At 44.0% G+C, this 26579-nt stretch overlaps 2 protein-coding genes across 28 annotated transcripts in view, besides 3 other annotated features; one reads left to right on the top strand and one right to left on the bottom strand.

Annotated features, from left to right (window-relative positions):
* Positions 718-26509, top strand: PPT1 (palmitoyl-protein thioesterase 1). Of its 3 annotated transcripts, NM_000310.4 has the most exons (9): positions 718-855; positions 5463-5572; positions 5798-5925; positions 6571-6641; positions 8458-8560; positions 17483-17573; positions 19312-19410; positions 21057-21128; positions 23787-25258. In NM_000310.4, the coding sequence occupies exons 1-9, from the start codon at positions 732-734 to the stop codon at positions 23907-23909; spliced, it is 921 nt and encodes a 306-aa protein (NP_000301.1). In that variant the 5' UTR covers positions 718-731; the 3' UTR covers positions 23910-25258. The 3 variants fall into 3 exon arrangements, with proteins under 3 accessions (NP_000301.1, NP_001350624.1, NP_001136076.1); NM_001363695.2 differs by lacking the exon at positions 21057-21128 and having other exon boundaries at positions 23787-26509; NM_001142604.2 differs by lacking the exons at positions 5463-5572; positions 5798-5925; positions 6571-6641 and having other exon boundaries at positions 23787-26509.
* Positions 854-983: an enhancer, noted in NCBI's record as "active region_829". NCBI's record gives its function as "activates an Ori minimal core promoter by ATAC-STARR-seq in GM12878 lymphoblastoid cells {active_cell/tissue: GM12878}" and the evidence as "EXISTENCE:reporter gene assay evidence [ECO:0000049][PMID:35858748]".
* Positions 12979-13273: an enhancer, noted in NCBI's record as "tiled region #13734; HepG2 Activating non-DNase unmatched - State 12:CtcfO". NCBI's record gives its function as "activates a minimal TATA promoter and a strong SV40 promoter by Sharpr-MPRA in HepG2 cells {active_cell/tissue: HepG2}" and the evidence as "EXISTENCE:reporter gene assay evidence [ECO:0000049][PMID:27701403]".
* Positions 19167-19216: a silencer, noted in NCBI's record as "silent region_720". NCBI's record gives its function as "represses an Ori minimal core promoter by ATAC-STARR-seq in GM12878 lymphoblastoid cells {active_cell/tissue: GM12878}" and the evidence as "EXISTENCE:reporter gene assay evidence [ECO:0000049][PMID:35858748]".
* CAP1 (cyclase associated actin cytoskeleton regulatory protein 1) overlaps positions 25322-26579 on the bottom strand; it is a 32409-nt gene continuing 31151 nt past the window's right edge. For all 25 annotated transcript variants that reach the window (NM_001350479.2, XM_047431628.1, NM_001350480.2 and 22 more), the window contains one exon: positions 25322-26520. In NM_001350479.2, the coding sequence (NP_001337408.2) occupies positions 26437-26520 (84 nt within the window). In that variant the 3' untranslated portion in view covers positions 25322-26436. The remainder of the gene's footprint in view (positions 26521-26579) is intronic.

The following is a 26579-nucleotide window of genomic DNA, read 5'->3' as shown; positions in this document are numbered from 1 at the left end:
GCTGAGATTAGGCCAGTTAGTGGCCATGGGTTTCCCCCTCACTCTTATGCATCCAACATATGCTTTCGTCCGTCTTGAAGTCCCGACATTTCTAGAAAACACAGTTGTCTTTCTCCTCTCTACCTTAGCTCATCTCAGTCCTTCTGAATTTCATCTTTGCTTGTTGAAATCCTACCTCTCCTTCAATATCCAGAACAAACCCCACACCCTGCCATGATTGGTCCTGGCTGGAAACCGTCCCTCCTTCTTTCTTCCTTCCTCTGTGCATGTTTCTTGCAAAGGCAGTACAGGGCAGTGGTGAAGAGCAACGACTTTGGAACCACCAATTTGCTATCTCTGTGACCTTGGGCACCTTACTCAGTGCCAATTCGCAGTGCCTCAGTGTCCTCACCTGTCAGGGGGAGAAGTGCATACAGCATTGTTATGAAGAGTGAATTAGTTAAAGGTTGTAAGAATAGTGCCTGATAGCATCTGATCAGCACTGAATATATGTTAGCAATTATTTTGATTCACCGCAGAGGGCGGTCTACGAGAGCGCAGAGCCCCACTCGGCCAGCGGGGTCTGGCGGGGGACCTGTCGCGCTGAAAGCTCCAGGGTAGGGCCGACGCCCATCAGGCTGGGCATCCGTTCGGGATGCGCAGGTTGCGATCTGCAACCGGCGGCGCCACGCCCAGGCGGGCGGAGCGCGGTTCCCGGAGTCTCGCGCCCGCGGTCATGTGACACAGCGAAGATGGCGTCGCCCGGCTGCCTGTGGCTCTTGGCTGTGGCTCTCCTGCCATGGACCTGCGCTTCTCGGGCGCTGCAGCATCTGGACCCGCCGGCGCCGCTGCCGTTGGTGATCTGGCATGGGATGGGTGAGTGAGTGAGAAATTTAAAAGGGTTTGGCGATTCTCTCTCTTCCTAGCCTGGGTTCGCATCTGCAAAATGCGGGTGTAGAGGGCGAGGACGTGGTCCCACAGCACGCGGCTGCCTCGACATTTTAGGATTTGAAGGATCTGCATTGGAAAGAGAGAAGGGGAAGGAGCCGTCCCCTTCACTGGAAAGAGAGAAGGGGAAGGAAAGAGAGAGCCGCGCACGGCGTTGAAGTTTTACATGCTGTCCTTGATTAATCCTTACAGTAGTGGCGTCAGGATGCAGCATCTCTCACTTGGTCAGGCTAGGTGAGCTGCGGCTGGCTATATGACTGGCGCATCTACCCTTTTATTTATTCCTTCACACATTGAACAGAGATTTGTTAGGCACCTACAGTTCATTTACAAATTGAGTAACCCTTATCTGAAATGCTTGGGACTGGGAAGCATTTCGGATTTTTTTTTTTTTAATATTTGCATATATACAAGAGATCTGGGGGGTGGGACCCAAGTGTAAACAGGAAATTTATTTATTTTTCATATACACCTTATACACATAGCTGGAAGGTAATTTTATGCAATATTTTAAATAATTTTGTGCAACCCATCACATGAGGTCAGGTGTGGAATTTTCCACTTGTGGCATCATGTCTGCGCTGAAAAACTTTCAGATTTTGGGTTTCCCATTTTCAGATTAGGATGCTCAACCTATATTCATTTAACACAGTTATTGAGCACCTACTAGGTGCTGAGGATACAGTAGGGAACTAAACAGACTAAATTCTTTGTTCTTTTGGAACCTACTCTCCAGTAGGAGAAGCAGATTATAAAGAAATTAACAAGTAAAACATAACATATCAAATGGTGATATGTGCAACAGAGAAAAATATAGTAGGGTGTAGGATAAAAACTGGAGGTGGGGGCTTGCACTTTTAATAAAGCAAAGTTGGGAAAGAATTCATTGAAAAAGTGACATCTGAGTACAAAACTGAGGTAGATGAGGACAGTTGCCATTTGGCTGTCTGGTAGAAGGAACAGTAAATGGGAAAGCCCTGATGTGGAAGTATGTCTGGTGTGTTCAAGGGACAGCATTCAGATCAGCGTGGCTGGAAATGAGTAAGCAAGGGGAAGAAGTTAGGAGTTTAGTTTGGAAGGGAGGGGCAGGTACAGAAGTTATTGGGCCTAGTAAGACTAATGCAGGGACTTTGGCTAGAGTGTCATGGGGAACTTTTTGAGCAGATGAGTGACATGATCTGACACATTTTTAAAGAATCACTTTAGTTGCTGTATTAAGAATAGATCGTAGGGCGTCATGGATGGTCACAGGGAGACAGGTTAGGAAACTATTGCAATAATTTAAACAAGAGATGATGACTTGGAACTGTAGAGTAACAGTAGAGGTGTTGAGAAGTGGTCAAAGTTTGGATAGATTTTGAAGGTGGATTGCTAACAGATCAGACTTGGAATAAGAGAGAAAGAAAGGAGCCAAAGATGACTCCACAGGTTTTGGCCTGAACAATTGGAAGGGTGAAGTTTTCATTTTACCAAGATGGGGAAGCCTGTAGGACAAGCTGACTTAGGGTGGGGGAAAGATCAAGAGTCTGCTTTTGGGCTTACTAAACTTGAGATCCTCATGAGACACCCAGGAGATGTTGTAGAGGCATTTGGAGTGTGGAGTCTAGGACAGAGATACGGGTTGGAGATTTAAGTAGGGAGTCTTCGGCATACAGCTAGTAGTTAAAGGCTAGGTGAGACCACCTAGGAAATGAGCGTACACAGAGGACTAAGCCCTGAGGCACTCCATTCCATTTGGAGGTGGAGGAAATGAGGAGAAACTAGCAAAGGAGGCTGTAACCAAATAGCCGGTGAAGTGGAGGGGTCAGGAAAGCGCAGTGTCCTTGAAGCCAAGTGAAGAAAATGTTTCAGGAAGAAGGGCATGATCAACTGCATCAAATGTTGATAGGTCATGATCAACTGTATCAAATGTTAATGGGTCAAGGAAGATAAAGGCTGACAACTGATTATTGGATTTAGCAATATAAAGATGATTAATCTTGACAAAAGCAGTTTTGGGAGAGTCGTGATAGTGAGATCTTTATTGGGATGGGTTACAGAAAAATATTCAGAGTAATTAGAGTCAGCAAATACAAACACTTGCAAGGTTCTCCAACAGGCCCTGGGGCTACTACAGTGGGGTCAAAAGAGGACACAGGGTAGGAGCTTTGTGTTTTCCCAGAGCTCACAGTCAGTTACAGGGGAGGCAGAGGCAGTTAAGTAACCTACAATTACAGCTCAGTGTGGAGAACGTTGTTTTCAGAGAAATAAAAGGAATAGACAATTCTCTAGGCAGTAGCCTTTTCTTGTTCTAAAATTGGTGCTTAAGCTTTCTCGCAGGTTGAAAATGGAATAAGTAAGTTCAAAATGGGAAATGATCTCAGTCCACTTCTACTCAGTAGCCAGTTTGCTTCCTGTTCCTAGTTCTAGTTCCCTGAAATAGAAGAAACAAGTCTGGGGCTAGGACAAGATGAAGAGGCTCCTGAAGTGCAAATTTAAGGAGGCACTCACTCTCAAATTCAGGGTCAACACTTACATAAACCTGAGAATGAGTGCCTCCTTAAATTTTGTGCCCTAGAGCGGGGGTCCCAAACTCCCTGGGTCTGTGACCTGTTAGGAACTAGCCACACAGCAGGAGGTGAGTGAGCCTGCAGCCTTACCACCATGAGCTCTACCTCCTGTCAGATCAGCAGTGGCATTAGATTCTCAAAGAGCTCAAATGCTGTTGTGAACTGCGCATGTGAGGGATCTGGATTGGGTGCTCCTTATGAGAATCTAGCAAATGCCTGATGATCTGAGGTGGAACAGTTTTGAAAAATTGTCTTCCACAAACCTGGTCCCTGGTGCCAAAAAGGTTGAAGACCGCTGTCCTAGATGCTTAATTTGCCTCACCCTAGTCCTGGCCCTGAAGAGAAAACTTTGCATCTGTTCACCCCAAATATCCCCTGTGATAGGGGAAGGGAATGTGTACCTCTGCTTATTTTTCATTTGTAAATTTGGTGTCTTAATTATCCTATATGGGCTTTTTGGTTTTTTTGAGACAGGGTCTCGTTATGTTGCCCAAACTGGTCTCGAACTCTTGGCCTCAAGCAATCCTCCTGCCTCGTCTTACCAAAGCGCTGGGATGATAGGTATGAGCCCATGCTTGGCCTATATGGATTTTTTTTTTTTTTTTTTTTTGAGATGGAGCCTTGTTCTGTTGCCCAGGCTGGAGTGCAGTGGCATGATCTTGGCTCACTGAAACCTCCACCTTTCAGTTTCAAGCGATTCTCCTGCCTCAGCCCCCCAAGTAGCGGGACTACAGACATGTGCCACCACACCCGGCTAATTTTTGTATATTTAGTAGAGATGGGGTTTCACCATGTTGCCCAGGCTGGTCTCGAGCTCCTGACCTTGTGATCCACCCACCTCGGCCTCCCAAACTGCTGGGATTACAGACGTGAGCCATGACACCCAGCTCCTGTATGGACTTTTGAAGCTTGTTATTACTTGATAAACAGGAGCTAAGCAAAAAATGTTCTTTCTTCTGTTTTTTAAAATTGAGGTAAAAATTCATGTAAAGTTAACCATTTAAAATGGTACGATTCAGTGGCATTTAGTGTATTTGCAATGTTGTGCAACTAACACTTCTTTTTCAACACCCCAGAAAAACACACATAGCCATTAAGCAATCACTCCCTATTGCCCCCTCCTACTACTTCTTGATAATCTCCAGCTTAGTTTTCTGTATCTCAGTGGATTTGCCTGTTCTTTATTTATCCTATGAAAGGAATCATGCATTATGTGGCTTTTTGAGTCTGGCTTCTTTCACTTAGTATAATGTTTCTGAGGTTCATTCAAGTTGTAACATGTGTCAGCACTTTGTTCCTTTTTTATAACTCAGTAATATTCCATTGTGTGAATATACCACATTTTATTCATTCATTCATTGATGGACTGCTGGATTGTTTCTCCCTTTTGACTATTACAAACACTGCTGCTGTTAACATCTATATGCAAGTTTCTGCATGGACGTGTGTTTTTATTTCTTTGGGGTGTATAACTAGGAGTTGAATTGCTGAGTCATTTAGTAATCGTATGTTTAACTTTTTGAGAAACCACCAAACTGTTTTTCACAGTGGCTGCTTATTACATTCCCACCAGCAATGTCCAAGGGGTCCCATTTTTCTACATCGTTGACAATACTTGTTATTTTCTATTAAAAAATTATTATTAAAGACATCCTAGTCTGTGTGAAATGGTATCTCATCGTGGTTTTGGTTTGCATTTCACATGCCAGTGGTTAGCCATTTGTATATCTTCTTTGGAAAAATATCTGTTTAATTTCTTTTCCCATTTTTAAATTAGGTTATCTTTTTGTTGAGTTGTAAGTGAGTTATAGATTCCTTGTATATTCTGGATATTAAGCCCTTATCAGATAACTGTTTTGCAAATATTTTCTTCCATTCTATACATTGTTTTCACATCCTTGATAATGCTGTTTGAGGCCTCAGAGTTTTTAAACAATAAACAATATTTGGACTCATGAGTTTCCATCATTGTGTTTTGTTGGCTAGGAGACAGCTGTTGCAATCCCTTAAGCATGGGTGCTATTAAAAAAATGGTGGAGAAGAAAATACCTGGAATTTACGTCTTATCTTTAGAGATTGGGAAGACCCTGATGGAGGTAAGGCGCTTCACAGCTGTTCCTTTGAAGGGTTGCTGACTGATTTCATAGCATATACTGTTAAAATGCTTTGCCTTGTGTTTTCAGCAGCAGATCATACAGTGATACTTTCACCCTTGAGTGGCTCATGTGAGGATACCAACCTAAATGAGTTTACCTCTTAGAGAAGATGTCAGTGGTTGTTTTCAGTCCCATCCTCTCACTTCTCTCTGGCTTCTTTTTTAGGACGTGGAGAACAGCTTCTTCTTGAATGTCAATTCCCAAGTAACAACAGTGTGTCAGGCACTTGCTAAGGATCCTAAATTGCAGCAAGGCTACAATGCTATGGGATTCTCCCAGGGAGGCCAATTTCTGTACGTTCCTTTTTGTTATATTGTACCACTTATATGGAATTGATTTTTGTTTCTTTTATTCAGATAAATCCACTCCTCCAATTCAAGATTGTCACCTATCTTGGAAGGGAAATTTCCTAAAATGTTCCTGTGTAAGAAGCTTTATGGAACTTAATTTCTTTTCTTTTTTTTTTTTTTTTGAGACAGAATTTCTCTCTTGTTGCCCAGGCTGGAGTGCAGTGGCGCGATCTCAGCTCACTGCAACCTCCACGTCCCAGGTTCAAGTGATTCTCCTGCCTCAGCCTCCCGAGTAGCTGGGACTATAGGTGCTCACCACCACACCTAGCTAATTTTTTGTATTTTTAGTAGAGATGGGGTTTTACCATGTTGTCTAGGCTGGTCTCGAACTCCTGACCTCAGGTAGTCCACCCACCTCAGCCTCCCAAAGTGCTGAGATTACAGGTGTGAGCCACCATGCCTGGCTGGAGCTTAATTTATTTTCTATGAAAGTTGAAAGAAATATTTGCATTTGCCCATATCAGGAAAATCCTGAAACTCTGCGGGTTTGGGGAGTCACAGAGGATGACTAGCTTAATCTGTGATGCTGATTGTGGATGATACATTTCCATCTGACAGTCGGAGCTAAAACTCCCTTTTATTCCGTAGGAGGGCAGTGGCTCAGAGATGCCCTTCACCTCCCATGATCAATCTGATCTCGGTTGGGGGACAACATCAAGGTAACTTTGCCTCTTTGCTTTCTTTTTTCTGTATTCTAACCCACATGACCACCTGATTTAAAAAAAAATCTAGGAACTATATTTGCACAAGACATCAGCCATTCTTGCAAAATCCTGTTTCTCTAGCTTTTAACAAACTAGCCAGCATTGCTGGAGACATAGGAAGAGACTTAGGATTCCAGAGGCCTGGATCACTAGGTTGGCATCTACTTCTCTCCAATTTCATTGACACGATTGCATGGAAGTAAGATGGTTATAGCCACGTGGCAGGTGGTGGTTGAGGAGTTAGGAAAATTGAGTGACCTTTTCTGTTCTCTGATTTGGTGGTATCCTCTTGAATTTAGGCTTAGGCAAAGAATAGTGTGTAAGCTCTTGTGTCTATAAATTTAAACTCTTTGAGAAACAGCAGGTTTTCTATTTTGACGGAATTCCATACTATTGGGGAAGGATGTGTCATTAGAATGGAATTTCATCTCTGTTGTTGATGGGTATAGCTATTAGCTGGTATAATGTGGGAGCAGAATGATTCTCCGTGTAATCAGGAAACCTGGACTCACCCAATTAACTATTACTCCTAGGCAAGTAATTTGGTATCTTAGGTTCCACTCACAGATGGAAGAAACCAAAATATGGCCCTGCCTGTCCTATGGGAATTTTTCAGAGGATAAAGTGAAATAATAGGTAGGAAAATACTTTTTAAAAGTATAAGGATTATACAAACGTAAGTTGGTAAAAACAGCTTTATTATTCATTCATTTAACAAATATTTATTGAAAACCTATTATATGCCAGGAACAAGACAGACAAGGTTCTTGCATTCATGAAATATATATATATACACACACACATGTGCACATATATGCACATACATACATAGACATATATATACACATATGCACCTATATACACACATACATAGACATATATAGACATATATATACACACATATGCACTTATATACACATATATACACACACACATATATATATATACACGATAAAATGGAGGATAGCTGGGCACATGGTGGTGTACACCTGTAGTCCCTGCTACTTGGGAGGCTGAGGCTGGAGGATCATTTGAAGCCAGGAGTTCAAGACACTGTGGTGTGCTGTAATTGTGCCTGTGAATAGCCATTGCACTTTAGTCTAGGCAACATAGCAAGACCCAATCTCTTGGAAAAAAACAACAGGATACTGTTCGAAGGACACACTAGTGGTTGTAGTGCTTAAAGGAGTGGGCTCTGGGGCCAAACTGCCTGTGTCTGAATCCTGGCTTATACCTTATTGTCTAACCTTGGACAAGGTATTTAACCTCATTTTTACAGTTTTCTATCTGTGATATAGGGCAAATAATGAAATCTACTCCACAGGGTGGTTGTGAGGATTAAATTAATTATTGCCAATATTTTGCTTAGAACTATTTGTGTTACTCAAAACAATGTTATTGATGAGGATGCTAAGGATGAAGTATAACTGGGGGAGGGGAAGGAAATGGGGGTGGGTACTATTTGAGATAAGGTGGTCAGATGTGACTTGTGTAGGACCAAGACCTGAGAGCTGAAAATGCGTCCAGCCATGTGATGCAACACATCCTCCAGGGATGAGCAGGTAAAAAGATCCTTAGGCAGGAAAGAGTGTAGCAGCACCAGGAGGAAGCTGGTGATAGTATTAGTTCTCTGCGCTTTATTTTCATGAGGAATAAGTGAATGAAATCAGAGTTTGGTCCTGTTCATTTTGTTTCTCACAGTGCCTTGTGCATAGTGGGTATTCGATACATCATTATTGAAGGAGTGGATATTTGTCATCTACCACTGTAGGTGTTTTTGGACTCCCTCGATGCCCAGGAGAGAGCTCTCACATCTGTGACTTCATCCGAAAAACACTGAATGCTGGGGCGTACTCCAAAGTTGTTCAGGAACGGTATGTATGGTTAGCTGAAAAGATTACAGACCTGTCACCGTGTGAAAATATCATGCTGACTTTCATGCTCACAGTGATTCCAGCAGTAGTTCCTTGTGATATTCAAATGAGATCTTTTTTTTTGAGATGGAGTTTCGCTCTTGTTGCCCAGGCTGGAGGGCAGTGGCGTGATTTTGTCTCACTGCAACCTCTGCCTCCCAGGTTCAAGCGAGTCTCCTGCCTCCGCCTCCGAGTAGCTGGGATTACAGGCATGCGCCACTACGCCTGGCTAATTTTGTATTTTCAGAAGAGACTGGGTTTCTCCATGTTGTTTAGGCTGGTCTCCAACTTCCCGAGCTCAGGTGACCCACCCACCTTGGCCTCCCAAAGTGCTGGGATTACAGGCGTGAGCCACCACACCCGGCCTTCAAATGAGATCTTTTTGTACTATCTGCTCAATTTCATTGTAAACCTAAACTTGCTCCAAAAAGTCTATTAACTAAAAAACAAAGAAAGAAAAACAAGGGCATTTTTCTATGTAAGAAGAATGTAATTATAACAGAATAAATTTCCATCCTTAAAAAACAAACAGAAAGCCTTTAGAAAGTACTAAGCTCAAGGAATTATTGTTGGTATTTAGAGGACAGATTCTTTATGTCATTAGCTACTCCCTATATCACTGTCCCTGACTACTCAAATGTATTTGGGTATTTAGCATGGCCAGCCTGGCATAATGGCTCACACTTGTAATCCCAGCTCTTTGAGAGGCCAAGGCAGGAGGATTGCTTGAAGCCAGAAGTTCACAACCAGTCTGAACAACATAGTGAGACCCCTGTCTCTGTTAAAATCTATTTTTAAAAAAAAAAAGATGCAGAATTACTTTTGTAGTATGTGCTTGTTCAGTTGGTTCCAAACTTAATTGTATATCAGAACCACAGGGAAATTCATTAAAAATGGATTCCTGGGCTTTATCCTTAGAAGTTGTGGGCCGGGCATGGTGGCTCACGCCTGTAATCCCAGCACTTTGGGAGGTGGAGGCAGGTGGATCATGAGGTCAAGAGTTCAAGACCAGCCTAACCAACATGGTGAAATCCCGTCTCTATTAAAAATGCAAAAATTAACTGGGCGTGGTGGCGCACGCCTGTAATCTCAGCTAGTCAGGAGGCTGAGGCAGGAGAATCACTTAAAAAACCCGGGAGGCGGAGCTTGCAGTGAGCCGAGATTGCGCCACTGCACTCTAGCCTAGGCAACAGAGGGAGACTCCGTCTCAAAAAAAAAAAAAAAAAAGTTTTGATGGTAGGTCTGACGTGCTCTTGATGATAGCTGGAGTTTGGGATCAACTAATATCCTGTGGGTTTTCCAAGTGTCTCATTCTTGTCAAATAACAACTTTTTATTACAGTATATTCTTGAAGCCATTTTCCAAGATACAGCCTTGTGACTGACTCATGTTGTAACCACCTACAGCTAATAGCTGTCTTTTCTTTTCCCACTCGTTGGCTACACAAATAGCCACAAAGCTGTTTTGGGTCAGCAGTACCACCTGATGGTTATTATAGAAAACTAAGATACTCTGTACCTCTAGCTCCTTTTTTTTACCCTCAGGCTACACCAAGCTTTCCCCTTTGCCTGGTTTGATTGGCTGTGGCTAATTACAACTTAATTATTTATATTCTACATATTCTCTGTTCTCATGGATTTGCATGGTATTTAAACTTCATTCTTCTTCCTTTACTCTTTATTCTCACTCTTGCCCAGTTGCCTCCAAAACGCCTATACTTTTCTTTCTTTGTGTGAACCAAAACAACCCTTGGCGATCAGAATTCTGTTAGTGATGCTAAGTGAGCAGTCCGTCGGGGGGTGACAAGTGACACCTAAATACTGATTAAGGCGGGGCGCAGTGGCTCATGCCTGTTATCCCAGCACTTTGGGAGGCCTTGGTAGGCAGATCACTTGAGGCCTGGAGTTCAAGACCAGCCTGGCCAACATGGCAAAACCCCATCTCTACTAAAAATACAAAAATTAGGCAGGCGTGGTGGTGCACACCTGTAGTCTCAGCCACTCCGGAGGCTGAGGCTAGAGAATTGCTTGCACCCAGAAGGCGGAGGTTGCAGTGAGCTGAGATCGCACCACTGCACCCCAACCTAGATGACAGAGTGAGACTCTGTCTCAAAAAATAAAAATAAAAAATACTGATTAAAAGCTATAGATTGATGTGTTTATCTTCACTTCCTCCTTAAACTTTAATTAAGTGGTAGCAGAAGAATAAAAAGTGATAAACCCACAAGGGCAGAGAGAACAGGGAGAGAGGAGGTAAGAGATCATAAAAAATGGCAACATGTTTTTGAAAGCAAGCAAGCAGATGAATGAGTGTGAGAACTGTTTTAGCAGAGCAGATGGTGAAGGCTTAAAGTAATAAAGAGAAATCATTTTGTCTTTGTGATACTGTCCCAGGTTGCCCCTGGTATTAGGGAGGATTAATTCTGGTTGCAAGAAGAAACCCATATCAAGCCAAAGTAAATTTTAAAAGAAAGTAATACTCTGTTGGTGCCTAAAGCCTCATAGGGCCTAGAATCAAGAATTGGGAGCCATGAGGAGCCAGGGTATTCTCTCTCCAGTGCCATTGTTGCTTCTCTCTCTGTGTCGCTGCTTCTTTCTCTCCATGCAGACCAGCTTCCCCTGCCACCCACATGATGGAAGGTGGCCTCGCACGGCTTCCAAATGTTTAATTTTCTGTTAGGAGATTGTCTCAGTCTGAGGCTAGACTCTCTTTGTCCCGATTCAGATTCTTCAGGAAGGGACCATGCCCCAGCTCAGGTCAGGTCTCCCCCTCTGCTCTCATTAGCTGTGGCCAGAGAAGTGGGACCGTGCTTACTAACCATACCCCACCTCCCTGTAAACCAGTAGGCCGGGCAGGAAGAGTGCAAGAGAGGCAGAGACCCCAAAAGATGTCTTCCACATTCTTCAGATAACTTAACCTTAGCAAAGCAAACGTGATATCCTAATACGCACAGTAACTGGTGGGGAAGCCCCCGGCTTGGCATGGTGAGGGCAACGAGGAATGGTATAATAGTTCTCTCTCTCCTTCCTGGATGTAAAACTACCCTCTAGTTCCCTTTTGCCTTTGCAGATGCTGTCAGCCCTTCCTAGCCTTCTCCTTCCTCCGGTTTGCTCCCTGCCATCCCCTGCCCCACGCTCTACCCTCCTACCTCTACACTCCCTGCCACAATGAATGCTTCAGTGTTGCCCTGGCCTTGGCCTCCGTCTTCCCCCGTACCAGCTCAGAGGAAGCTAGAGCTTTACATATCCTGTTTAATTTTCATAGCAACTTGCCTTCCCCAGGTCTGCTCTGGGCCCCGCTCCCAGTTTGCACCCCACCCTCAGTGGATCTCAGAGTGCTTTTCCTCAATTGTCCAGTTTTCCCATGTCTTTGCCCTCAGCCGATGAACTTGCAACTTGGTTTTCTGGAAATATTAAGGCATCTACTCAGGCTCTCTCAGAGACTTTCAGCCATTCAAAAAAGTTAGAGAGTAATGTAACGAACTACAGGCATACCTCAGAGAAACTGAGGATTTGGTTCTAGACCACCACAATAAAGCAAATATTGTTAATACAGCAAGTCACACAAAGTTGTTGGTTTCCCAGCGCATATAAAAGCTATGTTTACACTATACTGAAGTCTATTAAGTGTGCAGTAGCATCATGCCTAAAAAAAGTACATGCCTTAATTAGAAAATACTTTATTGCTAAAAAATGCTAATCATTTGAGTCTTCAGCAAGTCATCTTTTTGCTGGTGGAGGGTCTTGCCTCGGTGTTGATGGCTGCTGACTGATCAGGGTGGTGGTTGCTGAAGGTTGGGATGTAGGGTCCAGCCCCACAGGGTCGGTGGGTTTTTCTCCCTGTGTGCGGAGATGAGAGATTGTAGAAATAAAGACACAAGACAAAGAGATAAAAGACAGCTGGGCCCGGGGGACCACTACCACCAAGACGTGGAGACTGGTAGCGGCCCCGAATGCCAGGCTGCGCTGATATTTATTGGATACAAGACAAGGGGGGCAGGGTAAGGAGTGTGAGCCATCTCCCATGATAGGTAAAGTCACATGGGTCACGTGTCCACTGGACAGGGGGCCCTTCCCTGTTTGGCAGCCGAGGTGGGGAGAGAGAGAGAGAAAGACAGCTTAGGCCATTATTTCTGCATATCAGAGACTTTTAGTACTTTCACTAATTTTGCTACTGCTATCTAAAAGGCAGAGCCAGGTGTACAGGATGGAACATGAAAGCAGGCTAGGAACATGACCACTGAAGCACAGCATCACAGGGAGATGGTTGGGCCTCCGGATAACTGCAGGCGGGCCTGACTGATGTCACGCCCTCCACAAGAGGTGGAGGAGTAGAGGCTTCTCTAAACTCCCCCGGGGAAAGGGAGACTCCCTTTCCCAGTCTGCTAAGTAGTGGGTGTTTTTCCTTGGCACTGACGCTACCACTAGACCACGGTCCGCTTGGCAACGGACATCTTCCCAGACGCTGGCATTACCGCTAGACCAAGGAGCCCTCTAGTGGCCCTGTCCGGGCATGACAGAGGGCTCACACTATTGTCTTCTGGTCACTTCTGAGCATGTCCCTTCAGCTCCTATCTCTGTATGGCCTGGCTTTTCCTAGGTTATGATTGTAGGGCAAGGATTATTATAATATTGGAATAAAGAATAATTGCTACAAACTAATGATGAATGGTATTCATATATAATCATGTTTATGATCTAGGTCTAGGATAACTCTTGTTGTTTTATATATTTTATTATACCGGAACAGCTCATGCCCTCGGTCTCTTGCCTCGGCACCTGGGTGGCCTGCTGCCCACATTGGGGTGGCTGTGCTAATTTCTTAAAGTGAGACAATGATGAACTTTGTATCAGTTGACTCTTCCTTTCATGAAAGATTTCTTTGTAGCATGCGATGCTATTTGGTAGCATTTTGGCCACAATAGAACATCTTTCAGAACTGGAGTCAATCCTCAAACCCTGCCGCTGCTTTTATGTAAGCTTATGTAATATTTATTCTAAATCCTTTGTTGTCGTTTCATCAGTGTTCACAGCATCTTCACCAGGAGTAGATTCCATCTCAAGAAGCCACTGTTTTGCTCATCCGTAAGAAGCAATTCCTTATCTGTTTTTTGAGATTGCAACAATTCAGTCACATCGTCAGGTTCCACTTCTAATTCTAGTTCTCCTGCTATTTCCACATCTGCAGTTACTTCCTTCATTGAAGTCTTGAATCCCTCAGCCATTCATGAGGGTTGGAATCAACTTCTTTTAAATTCCTGATAATACTGATATTTTGACCTCTTCCCGTGAATCATGAATTTTTGTTTGTTTGTTTTTGAGACAGAGTCTCACTCTGTCACCCAAGTTGGAGTGCAGTGGTGCCATTACAGCTTACTGCAACATAGCCTCAACCTCCCAGGCTCAAGCAATCCTCCCACCTCAGCGTCCTGAGCAGCTGGGACTACAGGTGTGAGCCACTACACCCCACTAATTTTTTAATTTTTTTGTAGAGATAGGATCTCATTTATGTTGCCCAGGCTAGTCTCACACTCCTGGGCTCCACTGATTTTCCCTCCTCACCCTCCCAAAGTGCATGGTACCCAGCCCGTTAATGTTCTTAATGGCATCTAGAATGATAAATCCTTTCCATCAGGTTTTCCGTTTACTTTGCCCAGATGCATCAAAGGGATCACTGTCTATGCAGCTACAACCTTGTAAATGTATTTCTTAAATAATAAGACTTGAAAATTGAAATTACTACTTGATCCATGGGCTGTAGAATGGATGTGCTGTGGCAGGCATGAAGACAACATTAATCTCTTTGTACATCTCCATCAGAGCGCTTGGGTGACCAGGTGCTTTTTAATGAGCTGTAATATTTGTTTGTTTTTTGAGTTTGTTTTTAAACTTTTTTTAATTAAAAAAAATAGTTTTTGAGACAGGGTTGTGCTCTCTTGCCCAGACTAGAGTGCAGTGGTGTGATCACAGCTCACTGCAGCCTTCACCTCCTGGACTCAAGCCATCCTCCCACTTCAGCCTCCTGAGTAGCTAGGACTACAGGCATGCACCGCCATGCTCGGCTACTTTTAAAAAGAATTTTCTTTTCTAGAGGTGGGGTCTTGCTATGTTGCCCAAGCTAGTCTTGAACTCCTGGCCTCAAATGGTCCTCCTACCTTGGCCTCCCAAAGTGCTGGCATTGTAGGTATGAGCCACCATGCCCAGCTGCGTGGTAATGTTTTGAAAGGAATCTTTTTTTCTGAGCAATAGGTCTCAACAGTGGGCTTAAAATAGTCAGCAAACCACACTGTAAACAGATCTGCTGTCATCCAGGCTTTGTGTTCCATTTGTAGAGCACAGGCAGAGTAATTTAGCGTAGTTCTTAAGGGCCCTAGGATTTAAAAAATGGTAACCCAGCATTGGCTTCAGCTTCAAGTCATCAGCTCCATGAGGCACTCACAAGAGAGTCAGCCTGTCCTTTGAAGTTTTGAAGCCAGGCATTGACTTCTCCTCTATAGCTGTGAAAGTCCTAGATGGCATCTTCTTCCAATTTAAGACTGTTTCACCTACACTGAAAATTTGTTGTTTATGGTCGCCACCTTCATTAAGTATCTTAGCTAGATCTCCTGGATAACTTACTGCAGCTTCTACATCAGCACTTGCTGCCCCATCTTGCACTCCTGTGTTATGGAGATGGTTTCTTTCCTTGAACCTTACAAACCAACCTCTGCTAGCTTCACACTTTTTTTCTGCAGCTTCCTCACCTCTCTCAGCCTTCATTGAATTGAAGAGAGTTAGGACGTTGCTCTGGATTAGGCTTTGGCTTAAGGGAATGTTGTGGCTGGTTTGGTCTTCTATCTAGACCACTCAGATTTTCTCCATAGCAGCAATAAGACTGTTTTGCTTCCTTATTATTTGTGTGTTCACTGAAATAACACTTCTAATTTTCCTCAGGAACTTTTTTTTTTTTGCATTCTATAAATGTTCAGAGTTCTAAACCTTTAAAAGGTTTCAAATACATGTATAAACACATTCTAGAATGTCACTCTGACTGTTGCTTCCTTTAACTTCAGTCTCATCTGCTCCTGGGAGGGAGAGCTCCATCTCTGACGTAGCTGGCTCTGTTGGGCTTTAGCGCCAGCCTGCTCCACCGAGTGGCGTTTTCAGGACCACTGCCTCTGGGCAGCTCTTCCACTCTGGCTACGGAGCGTATGTTGTAGAAATTTTGATTTCTCTCCCTGCCAACCTGGGATAGAGTTTGTTCGAATTTCCCCATGTGAGGCCTTGGGGTAACCGTGCCCATTTTGAGGAGGTGGGGGCTGGAAGGGAAGAGGAAGTGGAGAGAGATTGGAAAGAAAGTATAAAGAGTCCCCTTTGCTCCAGTTCCCAGCAAGTTCCTCATCTCCATCTGAGACTACCTCAGCCTGGACCTTATTGTCTATATCACTATCAGGCTTTTGGTCAAAGCCATTCAACAAGTCTCTAGAAAGTTCCAAGCTTTCCCACATTTTCCTGTCTTCTTCTGAGGCCTCCAAACTGTGCCAGCCTCTGCCTGTTACCCAGTTCCAAAGTCACTTCCACATTTTGGGTAACTTTTCAGCAGCACCCCACTCTACTGGTACTTATTTACTGTATTAGTCTGTTTTCATGCTACCGATAAAGACATACCCGAGACTGGGCAAATAGAGGTTTATAATGGACTTACAGTTCCATGTGGCTGGGGAAGCCTCACAATCATGGCGGAAGGCGAAAGGCACATCTCACATGACGGTAGACAAAAGAAGAGAGCTTGGGCAGGGAAACTCCCCTCTTAATTTTATTTTCTATTTATTTATTTATTTATTTATTTATTTTTTGAGATGGATTCTCGCTCTGTCTCCCAGGCTGGAGTGCAATGGCGTGATCTTGGCTCACTGCAACCTCAGCTTCCCAGGTTCAAGCGATTCTCCCTCCCTCTGCCTCCCAAGTAGCTGGGATTACAGGCACATGCCACCGTGCCTGGCTAATTTTTGTATTTTTAGTAGAGACGGGGTTTCCTCATGTTGGCCAGGTTGGTTTCGAACTCCTGACCTCAGGCGATCTGCCCGCCTTGGCCTCCCAAAGTGCTGGGATTATAAGCATGAGCCACAGAATCTGGCCCAACTCCCCTCTTTGAAACCATCAGATCTCATGAGACTTATTCACTGTCACGAGAACAGCACAGGAAAGACCCACCCCTGTAATTCAGTCACCTCCCATGACATATGGGAATTGTGGGAGTTACAATTCAAGATGAGATTTGGGTGAGGACACAGCCAAACCATATCAGCATGATAAGTATGATAAACCCCAGTGTCACAGGAGAAGCAAATATTGATGAGTCCTTTGCCTGAATCTTTTATAATTTCTGTACTATGCTGAACAGTCTGTCTCAACAAGGTGTCTTGTTGACAGACTGTTTCCTAGGTGCAAGTCTTGTCTTCTGTATTAAAGGGTAAGGCCTGGGACTTGAGGGCTTTGGCCTTTTGTCCTTGTTTTTTGAGACAGAGTCTCACTCTGTCGCACAGGCTGAAGTGCAGTGCTGCGATCTCAGCTCACTGCAACCTCTGCCGCCGGGGTTCTAGCAGTTCTCCTGCCTCAGCCTCCCAAGTAGCTAGGATTACAGGCGCCTGCCGCCGCGCCTGGCTAATTTTTGTAGTTTTAGTAGAGACGGGGTTTCACCATCTTGGCTAGGCTGGTCTTGAACTCCTGACCTCGTGATCCACCTGCCTCAGCCTCCCAAAGTGCTGGGATTACAGGTGTGAGCCACTGTGCCTGGCTGGCCTTTTGTCCTTTTAAAGTCTCTTGGTGGCCTTTGCACTGAGCATGCCCTGGGCGTACTGACTGACCTGTAGCTTGATCACCTCATTCTTTTTTTTTCCTACAGCCTCGTGCAAGCCGAATACTGGCATGACCCCATAAAGGAGGATGTGTATCGCAACCACAGCATCTTCTTGGCAGATATAAATCAGGAGCGGGTAAGCACCCAAACCGGGCTCCCATAGATGTGCGTTCTTTTTCCTGTTTAGGTCTTCATAAACAAATCAGCAGTGACTGTTTACCCAAACTGTCCTGGGCAGACACTAGGAAAGAGAAGTTCTGTTTTTTTTGGGAGGCAGGGCCTTTGAGATTCAGTTCCCTTTAGGGAGGTTGAAATTCATTTGCCTTTCTTCCCTTAAGTTCTTTCCCTCTCCTAGTGTTGAAACACACAGGATAAGCTCGGCAGGTTGCTGACTGGGCGAGGTGGAAATTCACAGCTGCTGTCTTAATGAGGGAAGCTTTCCTGATGGATCAGTCTGGGGGTGGATTTTTCTCTAGAGATTTACCTAAAAGAGAGATACAGTAGGCACTGAGTATGTCCCAGACACAAACATGGTTTGGTAGGTTCTGGTAAACTAGATGGCTCAGTTTATATTTGACTCATCTGGAGAGTCTTTTGGTTTTTTGTTTTGAAACAGTTTGAAGGGAAAAACAAACCAAACAAAAAACAACACAGAATAGTATATAGCAGAACGACCCAGAATTTGCAGTTTCTTATTTTGTCTTGGCTTTCTCTGACTAGAAGCCTCTCACCTATGTGATGGACACCTATGGAGTGTGGTGTAAACTCATAGTTGTACCTGTATGCCATGCTCAGTGGCATGTCAGTCAGATAGGATGGTAAGAAAAGCCTATAGAAGGCCGGGCGTGGTGGCTCACGCCTGTAATCCCAGCACTTTGGGAGGCCGAGGTGGGCAGATCACTTGAGGTCAGGAGTTCGAGACCAGCCTGGCCAGCATAGTGAAACCCTGTCTCTACTAAAAATACAAAATTAGCTGGATGTGGTGGCGATCACCTGTAATCCCAGCTACTCTGGAGGCTGAGGCAGGAGAATCGCTTGAACCTGGGAGGCAGAGGTTACAGTGAGCTGAGATGGTGCCACTGCACTCTGGCCTCGGTGACAGAGCGAGACTCCATCTCAAAAAAAAAAAAAAAAAAAAAAGGAAAAGAAAAGGCTGTGTAAGCAATCCCGTGACTGGGTATATACCCAAAGGAAAACAAATTGTCCTGCCAAAAAGACACTTGCACTCGTGTTTATTGCAGCACTGTTCACCATAGCAAAGACATGAAATCAACCTAGGTGCCCATCAGCGGTAGACTGGATAGAGAAAATGTGGTACATATACACCATGGAATATTACACAGTCATAAAAAAGAATGAAATCCTGTTCTTTGCAGCAACATGGATGCAGCTGGAGGCCGTTATCCTAAGCAAATGAACACAGAAACAGAAGACCAAATATCACATGTTCTCACTTATAAGTGGGAGCTAAACATTGGGTACACGTGAATATAAAGATGGGAACAATAGACACTGGAGACTCCAAAAGCTGGGAGGGAGAGGCTAGGGCTGAAAAACTTCCTGTTGGGCACTGTGTTCACTATCTGGGTGAAAGGATCAACAGAACCCCAAACCTCAGCATCACACAATATACCCTTATAACAAAACTACACATGTACCCCCCTGAATCTAAAATAAAATATTTTGTTTTTTAGAAAAAAAGAAAAAAAAAAGCTGTACAGGTATATCCTGGTCAGGAAGCTGGAAAACAGCCCATACCCATGGGGAAGAAACACAGTGGCACAGGGTCAGGGAGACCAGAAAACAGGAAGGCTTTACTCCCTCTGCTGGTGTCTGATGGTAATGACCTTAGGTGTTGCTGGCCTTTCTTTCAGGGTATCAATGAGTCCTACAAGAAAAACCTGATGGCCCTGAAGAAGTTTGTGATGGTGAAATTCCTCAATGATTCCATTGTGGACCCTGTAGATTCGGAGGTGAGACACTACTTAGGCCACATGCCAGGAGAGTAAATGGCATTAAAATAGGGCTGCTGGCCGGGCACGGTGGCTCATGCCTGTAATCCCAGCACTCTGGGAGGCCAAGGCGGGTGGATCACCTGAGGTCAGGAGTTCAAGACCAGCCTGGCCAACTTGGTGAAACCCCATCGCTACTCAAAATACAAAAAGAAATTAGCCGGGTATGGTGACAGCCATCTGTAATCCCAGCTGCTTGGGAAGCTGAGGCAGGAGAATTACTTGAACCCAGGAGGCAGAGCTTGCAGTGAGCCAAGATCGTGCCACTGCACCCCAGCCTGGGTGACAGAGCGAGACTCTGTCTCAAAAAGAACATAAAATGAAATTGAAATGAAATGAAAAAATACAGCTGCCTGCTGGGGAAAAAACCTTCAGTCCCTTCCACCAACTTTTGTATAAAACAGTTCTTCACCTGAGGTCCATAAATGGGACACTGAAGATTGTAATCAATCCCCCAACCCCAAAATTCTATGCAAAATTATGTAATTACATTCTCTGGGGAAGGATCTATAATTTTAATCCATTTTCCAGAGATCAGAGACCCAAAAAATGTTCAGAATCACTAGCCCAAAATATATAAATTCCTAAGCTTGGCCTCCAAGGTCTGCCTTGATCTGGCTTCACCCCATTTTCCAGCCTAATCTGCCTTGTCTGCACGCTTCATACACTCTTGATCAAGCCATATTGTACTACTTGTGCTTTTTCTCTCGTATGCCTTGGTTCATATATTTCTGTCTCTAGAATGCCCTTCCTTGGCTTCTCCACCTGACAATTTCTATTCGTCTGTCAAGGCAAGGATGCCATCCCCATTCCAAGCAGAATGTGATCGCTTTTTTAGAATCATCAGCCTCTGTTAAAACACTCATCACGTTATGTCACACCACCAGGGATTGGCCGATTGTGGCCCACAGGCCCAGTCCATCCTGCTACCCGTTTTGGTGCTACCCACGAGTAACACCAAACACTAACATAAAAGAATGTTTTTAACATTTTTTAATGGTTGGGGGAAAGAATTGGACATATAAAGATTATGTAAAATTTATTTAGACATATCAAGTATTTGGACATATAAAGATTATGTAAAATTTAAATTTCAGTGTCCTTATTGGAACAGTTTTAGTTACTTTTTACATACTGTCTGTGGCTGCATTTGTTACAGTGGCAGCAATGAGTAGTTACAACCATATGGCCCTTAAAGCCTAAAATATTTTGTATCTGGCCTTTACAAAAACGTTTGCTGACCTCTGTACTCAACAGTGAATTGTTTCCGTGCCTTGCAAGACTGGGAGCTTTTTGGAAACAGATTATGTATTCATCCTTGAATGTCTAGAGCTCAGCACAGGAATTTTTCACATTTATTGCTTAATAATTTTAGGAAGCAGAAATTCTGGGGAAGTGGAAAGCGGCCTCTCAGAAAGATTAACTCATCCCTCGGGCTCCACCCTTAAGAAGAGATGACTCAGACGCACCCTATCCATTTTTCCTTCTTCCTACAGCTTTATGATGTTCACTTTGTTGGCAGTTTTAGCTTCTAACCAGTCTCAAATTATTTTGGCAGTATGTGCTGTGTGTCATATCTGAGCTTCTTTCCTTTGCTTCTTCTGCAGTGGTTTGGATTTTACAGAAGTGGCCAAGCCAAGGAAACCATTCCCTTACAGGAGACCTCCCTGTACACACAGGTAACTGGCAGGGAGTCTATCTTGGGAGGTTGGTGTTTTTTCAGCTCCCAGTTCCTGAAGCTGCTATGTTCTTTGGTGCTGGAGCCCTTTCCTTTACACCTCAGAGCACTAGGTACTCCTGAAACACCTGACTCATGTCCAATATGGGTGAAGCTTGTTAGGCTCTTGATTATGTGCTCTAGCTTATTAGGCACTGGGTTACAAAAATCCACTACATCCTGAAACCTTATGGTTTCCAAACAACAAGAGAAACCTCATGTCTGATTCCCTTCTTTTGATAAAAAGGTTTTAAAACTAGCTGCCTTGGCTGAGGTACAGTCTGCTACAAATCCAGGAAGCCTCCATGCATGATGAGGGGCATTCCTTTTTTTTTCTTTGAGACGGGGTCTCGCTCTGTCACCCAGGCTGGAGTGCAGTGGAGCAATCTTGGCTCACTGCAACCCCTGCCTCCCAGATTCAAGCAATTCTCCTGCCTCAGCCCCCTTAGTAGCTGGGATTACAGGTGTGTGCCATCACACCTGGCTAATTTTTGTATTTTTAGGAGAGATGGAGTTTCACCATGTTGGCCAGGCTGGTCTTGAACTCCTGACCTCAGGTGATCCACCCACCTCAGCCTCCCAAAGTGCTGGGATTACAGGCGTGAGCCAGTGCGCCTGGCCAAGGGACATTACTTTTAAACATTAATAGATGTGAAATCCTGTTTCTAAATTACGCACTGACAAGGGAGGCTCCTGCAGGAGGTTGAGTGGGACTAGAGTTTTGAATTTTGTTTAGCAGTAGGTCCTGTATCTTAAGCAGAAGTTGCAGTAATTTGCCACCTCCAGTTCTGGGGCCTTCTACACTTTAAGGATTTTTTTTTTTTTTTTTTTTTTTTTTTTTTTTTGAGACAGTCTTGCTTTGTCACCCAGGCTGGAGTGCAATGGTGTGATCTCAGCTCACTGCAGCCTCCACCTCCTGGGTTCAAGCGATTATCCTGCCTCAGCCTCACTAGTAGCTGGGATTACAGGCACACGCCACCATGCCTAATACTTTGTTTTGTTAGTAGAGACGGGGTTTCACCATGTTGGCCAGGCTGGTCTTCAACTCCTGACCTCAGGTGATCCACCTGCCTCAGCCTTCAAGAGTGCTGGGATTACAGGTGTGAGCCACCACGCCCAGCCCTAAGGATTTTATATTGGAGACAGACTCTCCAAAATGCTAAGTACTACATCTGAACCAATCACCGTCTACTAGAATTCCTCCATGTTATTTCAGAGGTCATTTGTCTCCTCTTGGCTTGGCTTTTCTTTTGCACTGGGTGCCTCAACTTGGGTGGTGAGGTAAAAAGGGAAGCTAGAATCTGATTTGAGAAAAAAAAAAAAAAAGGCTTGAGAAATTACAGCTAAGAACTTCCTTACTGTGAAAACTCAAAATGATGTTGGCCACGGCAGAAGCACCATTCTGGCACTGTCGTAACTGCTTATCTTCCCAACCAGAGGTTGTTCTCCAGCATCTAGGCTATGGGTAATGACATTTTCAACTCCAGAATATGAAAGTGTCCAGGGTTTGTTACCTAACGGTTGGATATGGTTTTTCTGTTTTGTTCTTTTGAGACAGTTTTGCTCATTGCCCAGGCTGGAGTGCAATGGCATGATCTCAGCTCACTGCAACCTCCGCCTCCCGGGTTCAAGCGAATTCTCCTGTCTCAGCCTCCCAAGTAGCTAGGATTACAGGTGCCCGCCACCATGCCCAGCTAATTTTTGTATTTTTAGTAGAGACAAAGTGTCATCATATTGGTCAGGCTGGTCTTGAACTCCTGACCACAGGTGATCCGCCTGCCTTGGCCATCCAAAGTGCTGGGATTATAGGCGTGAGCCACCGCGCCTGTCCTGGGTTGGATGTTTTTTAAGTTACCTAGCTAATGTTCTGTCTTTGGCTCAGTCCCACTTACCTATGGCATTCTGAGGCAGTGTCGTCTATGGCTTGCCCACCTATAGGTAGTCCTCTGACTCTGAGCTTTTCAAAAATCAGAATCTAGAACACTGTATAGAGCAATCTCAATTGCATATCTATTTTTAATACTTAGAAAAAACTGGCCGGGTGTGGTGGCTCACGCCTGTAATCCCAGCACTTTGGGAGGCCGAGGCACGTGGATCACCTGAGGTCAGGAGATCAAGACCATCCTAGCTAACACAGTGAAACCCCATCTCTACTAAAAATACAAGAAATTACCCAGGCATGGTGGCATGCGCCTGTAATTCCAGCTACTCATGAGGCAGAGGCAGGAGAATCGCTTGAGCCAGAGAAGTGGAGGTTGCAGTGAGCCGAGATCGCACCACTGCACTCCAGCCTAAGCAACCGAGCAAGACTCCGTCTTGAAAGAAAGAAAGAGAAAGAGAGACAGAGAGAGAGAGAGGAAGAAGAAGAAGAAGCGGGGGGGACAGGAGGAGGGGGAGGAGAGAAGAAAGAAAAGAAAGGAAGAAAGAGAAAGAAAGAAAAAGAAAAAAGAGAAAGAAAAAGAAGTAGGAGATATTCTTTTTGGCATTTTTGAAAATACACCTCAATTTTAATACTCAGGACAAACTGCATTTTGAAAATATATCTCAAGTTAACGTACTTACCATTTTACTCCAAAACTTCATTAAGCTTTTTAATTAATTATGGCCTTTCCTTCTGCAGGACCGCCTGGGGCTAAAGGAAATGGACAATGCAGGACAGCTAGTGTTTCTGGCTACAGAAGGGGACCATCTTCAGTTGTCTGAAGAATGGTTTTATGCCCACATCATACCATTCCTTGGATGAAACCCGTATAGTTCACAATAGAGCTCAGGGAGCCCCTAACTCTTCCAAACCACATGGGAGACAGTTTCCTTCATGCCCAAGCCTGAGCTCAGATCCAGCTTGCAACTAATCCTTCTATCATCTAACATGCCCTACTTGGAAAGATCTAAGATCTGAATCTTATCCTTTGCCATCTTCTGTTACCATATGGTGTTGAATGCAAGTTTAATTACCATGGAGATTGTTTTACAAACTTTTGATGTGGTCAAGTTCAGTTTTAGAAAAGGGAGTCTGTTCCAGATCAGTGCCAGAACTGTGCCCAGGCCCAAAGGAGACAACTAACTAAAGTAGTGAGATAGATTCTAAGGGCAAACATTTTTCCAAGTCTTGCCATATTTCAAGCAAAGAGGTGCCCAGGCCTGAGGTACTCACATAAATGCTTTGTTTTGCTGGTGATTTAACCAGTGCTTGGAAAAATCTTGCTTGGCTATTTCTGCATCATTTCTTAAGGCTGCCTTCCTCTCTCAGTACGTTGCCCTCTGTGCTATCATCTTATCATCAATTATTAGACAAATCCCACTGGCCTACAGTCTTGCTTCTGCAGCACCCACTTTGTCTCCTCAGGTAGTGATGAATTAGTTGCTGTCACAAAAGGAGGGAAGTAGCACCCAAATTAAGTTGCTTAAGAGAGGAAATGTACATCTTGTATAACTTAGGGAGCGAAGAAAATGTAGGCGCGAAAGTGAAAAGTGAGGCAGCTAGTTCTTCCTATTCCATTCTCGACCAACCTGCCCTTTCTTAATATGACTAGTGGTCTTGATGCTAGAGTCAACTTACTCTGTTGCTGGCTTTAGCAGAGAATAGGAGGAACCATATGAAAAAGATCAGGCTTTCTGACTTCCATCCCCAAAACACATTTACCAGCATACTCCAAACTGTTTCTGATGTGTTCCATGAGAAAAGGATTGTTTGCTCAAAAAGCTTGGAAAATACTACACACTCCCTTTCTCCTTCTGGAGATCAACCCACATTAGAGTGTCTAAGGACTCCTGAGAATTCCTGTTACAGTAAACAAAACTAACGTAATCTACCATTTCCTACACTATTTGAGCATGGAAATCATAGTCCCCACTCTGTGAAAACTTAACGCTTTTTGGAAGACATTTCTGTAGCATGTCAGTTTGGAGAAATGATGAGCTACGCCTTGATGAAAGAACCGTGTTGGTGCTGCTAAGTTTAGCCATTATGGTTTTTCCTTTCTCTCTCTTAAGCCTTATTCTTCAACTAAAAGATGAGGATTAAGAGCAAGAAGTTGGGGGGGATGTGAAAATAATTTTATGAGGTTGTCTAAAATAAAGAGTAGTTTCTTATCCTTGGTGTTTTCAGTATTTTTTGCATTTCTGTACAGCCAATATCACAGGTAAACAACTAAGCAAGTTTGGTATTAACTTTATTCTATTTTCTGTATAACTTTAAGTACATAAAGGTTTATTTCCACAGGCCTCAGGAAATGGGTAGAAATCACAGGACAATCTCTCTTCCCACCAAAAAAAAGTTGCATATTTTGGTAAGTGTTTGTCCTAGAGGGAAAAACAACTGAAATTTACATTAGCAGTGCTGTGCAAGATTCTTACATAATTCAAGACCTAAAACCAGCCTGCAGTGGAGGTTTCAGTCCTCTGTTCAGGTGCTTAGACAGAAGCCATAAGCTGATGAGCATGACAGGGAAAAGGAGGCAGTGAAGACAGGTGACAGGCACCTGGCAGGGAAGAAGGATTCAGGAATGCCAGACTCCTTGAAATCATGTGGGTTTTTTTTTTTTTTTTTTTCCTTTTAAAGTCATCTCTATAGGAAGGTGCTGGGCAGGGATCCCAGAGAAAGAAAGGGTCCAAGACTCCATTAACTGCCCTGGATGAAGGGCACTGCTACAGCAGCTAGTACCAGAGACTCTCCTATCTCACGGTTGAGGCAGACCCAGGATAGAATAGAGAATAAAAGGAATGCTTATAGGAAACAATTTTGTATGGAATGCTAGATGGCCAAGCCTCAGCCTTTGGTCCAGTGCAACCCTTGCCTCGCTTGTCAACAGTGAAAAATTAGTTTGGTTAGAAGAACCATCTGGAAACACACCAGCTTCTGCTACCTTCATGCTCATTGTTAAAAAAAGATTAACCAGTGTGAACATTCTGATCTGTTAATTCCAGGGACTGTTTTCTTTCCAATGGACTGTTTGTTGGTAGAATAACCCCCAAAAGCTCAAAGCTAAAATGCATCATCAGTCCTAGTCGGCAGTTCCTTAAGAATGGACTGGCGGCGTGGTTGAGCTGATATGGAAAAGCTGCACCTTCCTGCAGAAGATCAACTGACCTGCTATCCCACCCCAAATTTCAGCCTGAGGTATATTTCAGTGAAGGCAGGTAGCTGTGCTTCTCAGAGCAGAGAAGCAGTTTTAAGAGCAAAAAGGTAGAGGAAATCTAGAAAAGAACCGTCTTGATACAGATTTATCCCATGGTGTGAAGGGAGGGCAAAGAACCCAGTGGCACTTCGCTTATCCAGCAATTTCTGTCACTGTGGTGACCAACTTCTGCCCGTTCCATAGGGTCTTGAACTGCTCAGGAACTGGGAATTCATTCTGCAAATAAAGAAGAGACAGCAGGTTTAAATCTGAGCTAAAGAACAGCTGGGGCTAAA

Source organism: Homo sapiens, chromosome 1 (assembly GCF_000001405.40).
Source record: "Homo sapiens chromosome 1, GRCh38.p14 Primary Assembly".
Taxonomy (NCBI): Eukaryota; Metazoa; Chordata; class Mammalia; order Primates; family Hominidae; genus Homo; species Homo sapiens.
Note: the sequence above shows the minus strand (reverse complement) of the source record. Positions and strands in the feature narration are given on the sequence as shown.

What these genes read in the sequence shown, in the direction of transcription:
- PPT1 (NM_000310.4), top strand. Translation starts at nt 732, where the DNA reads ATGGCGTCGCCCGGCTGCCTGTGGCTCTTGGCTGTGGCTCTCCTGCCA. An exon ending in TCCCAGGGAGGCCAATTTCT is followed by an intron (nt 5,926 to 6,570) that starts GTACGTTCCTTT and finishes TTTATTCCGTAG; the next exon opens with GAGGGCAGTGGCTCAGAGAT. An exon ending in AGACCTCCCTGTACACACAG is followed by an intron (nt 21,129 to 23,786) that starts GTAACTGGCAGG and finishes TTCCTTCTGCAG; the next exon opens with GACCGCCTGGGGCTAAAGGA.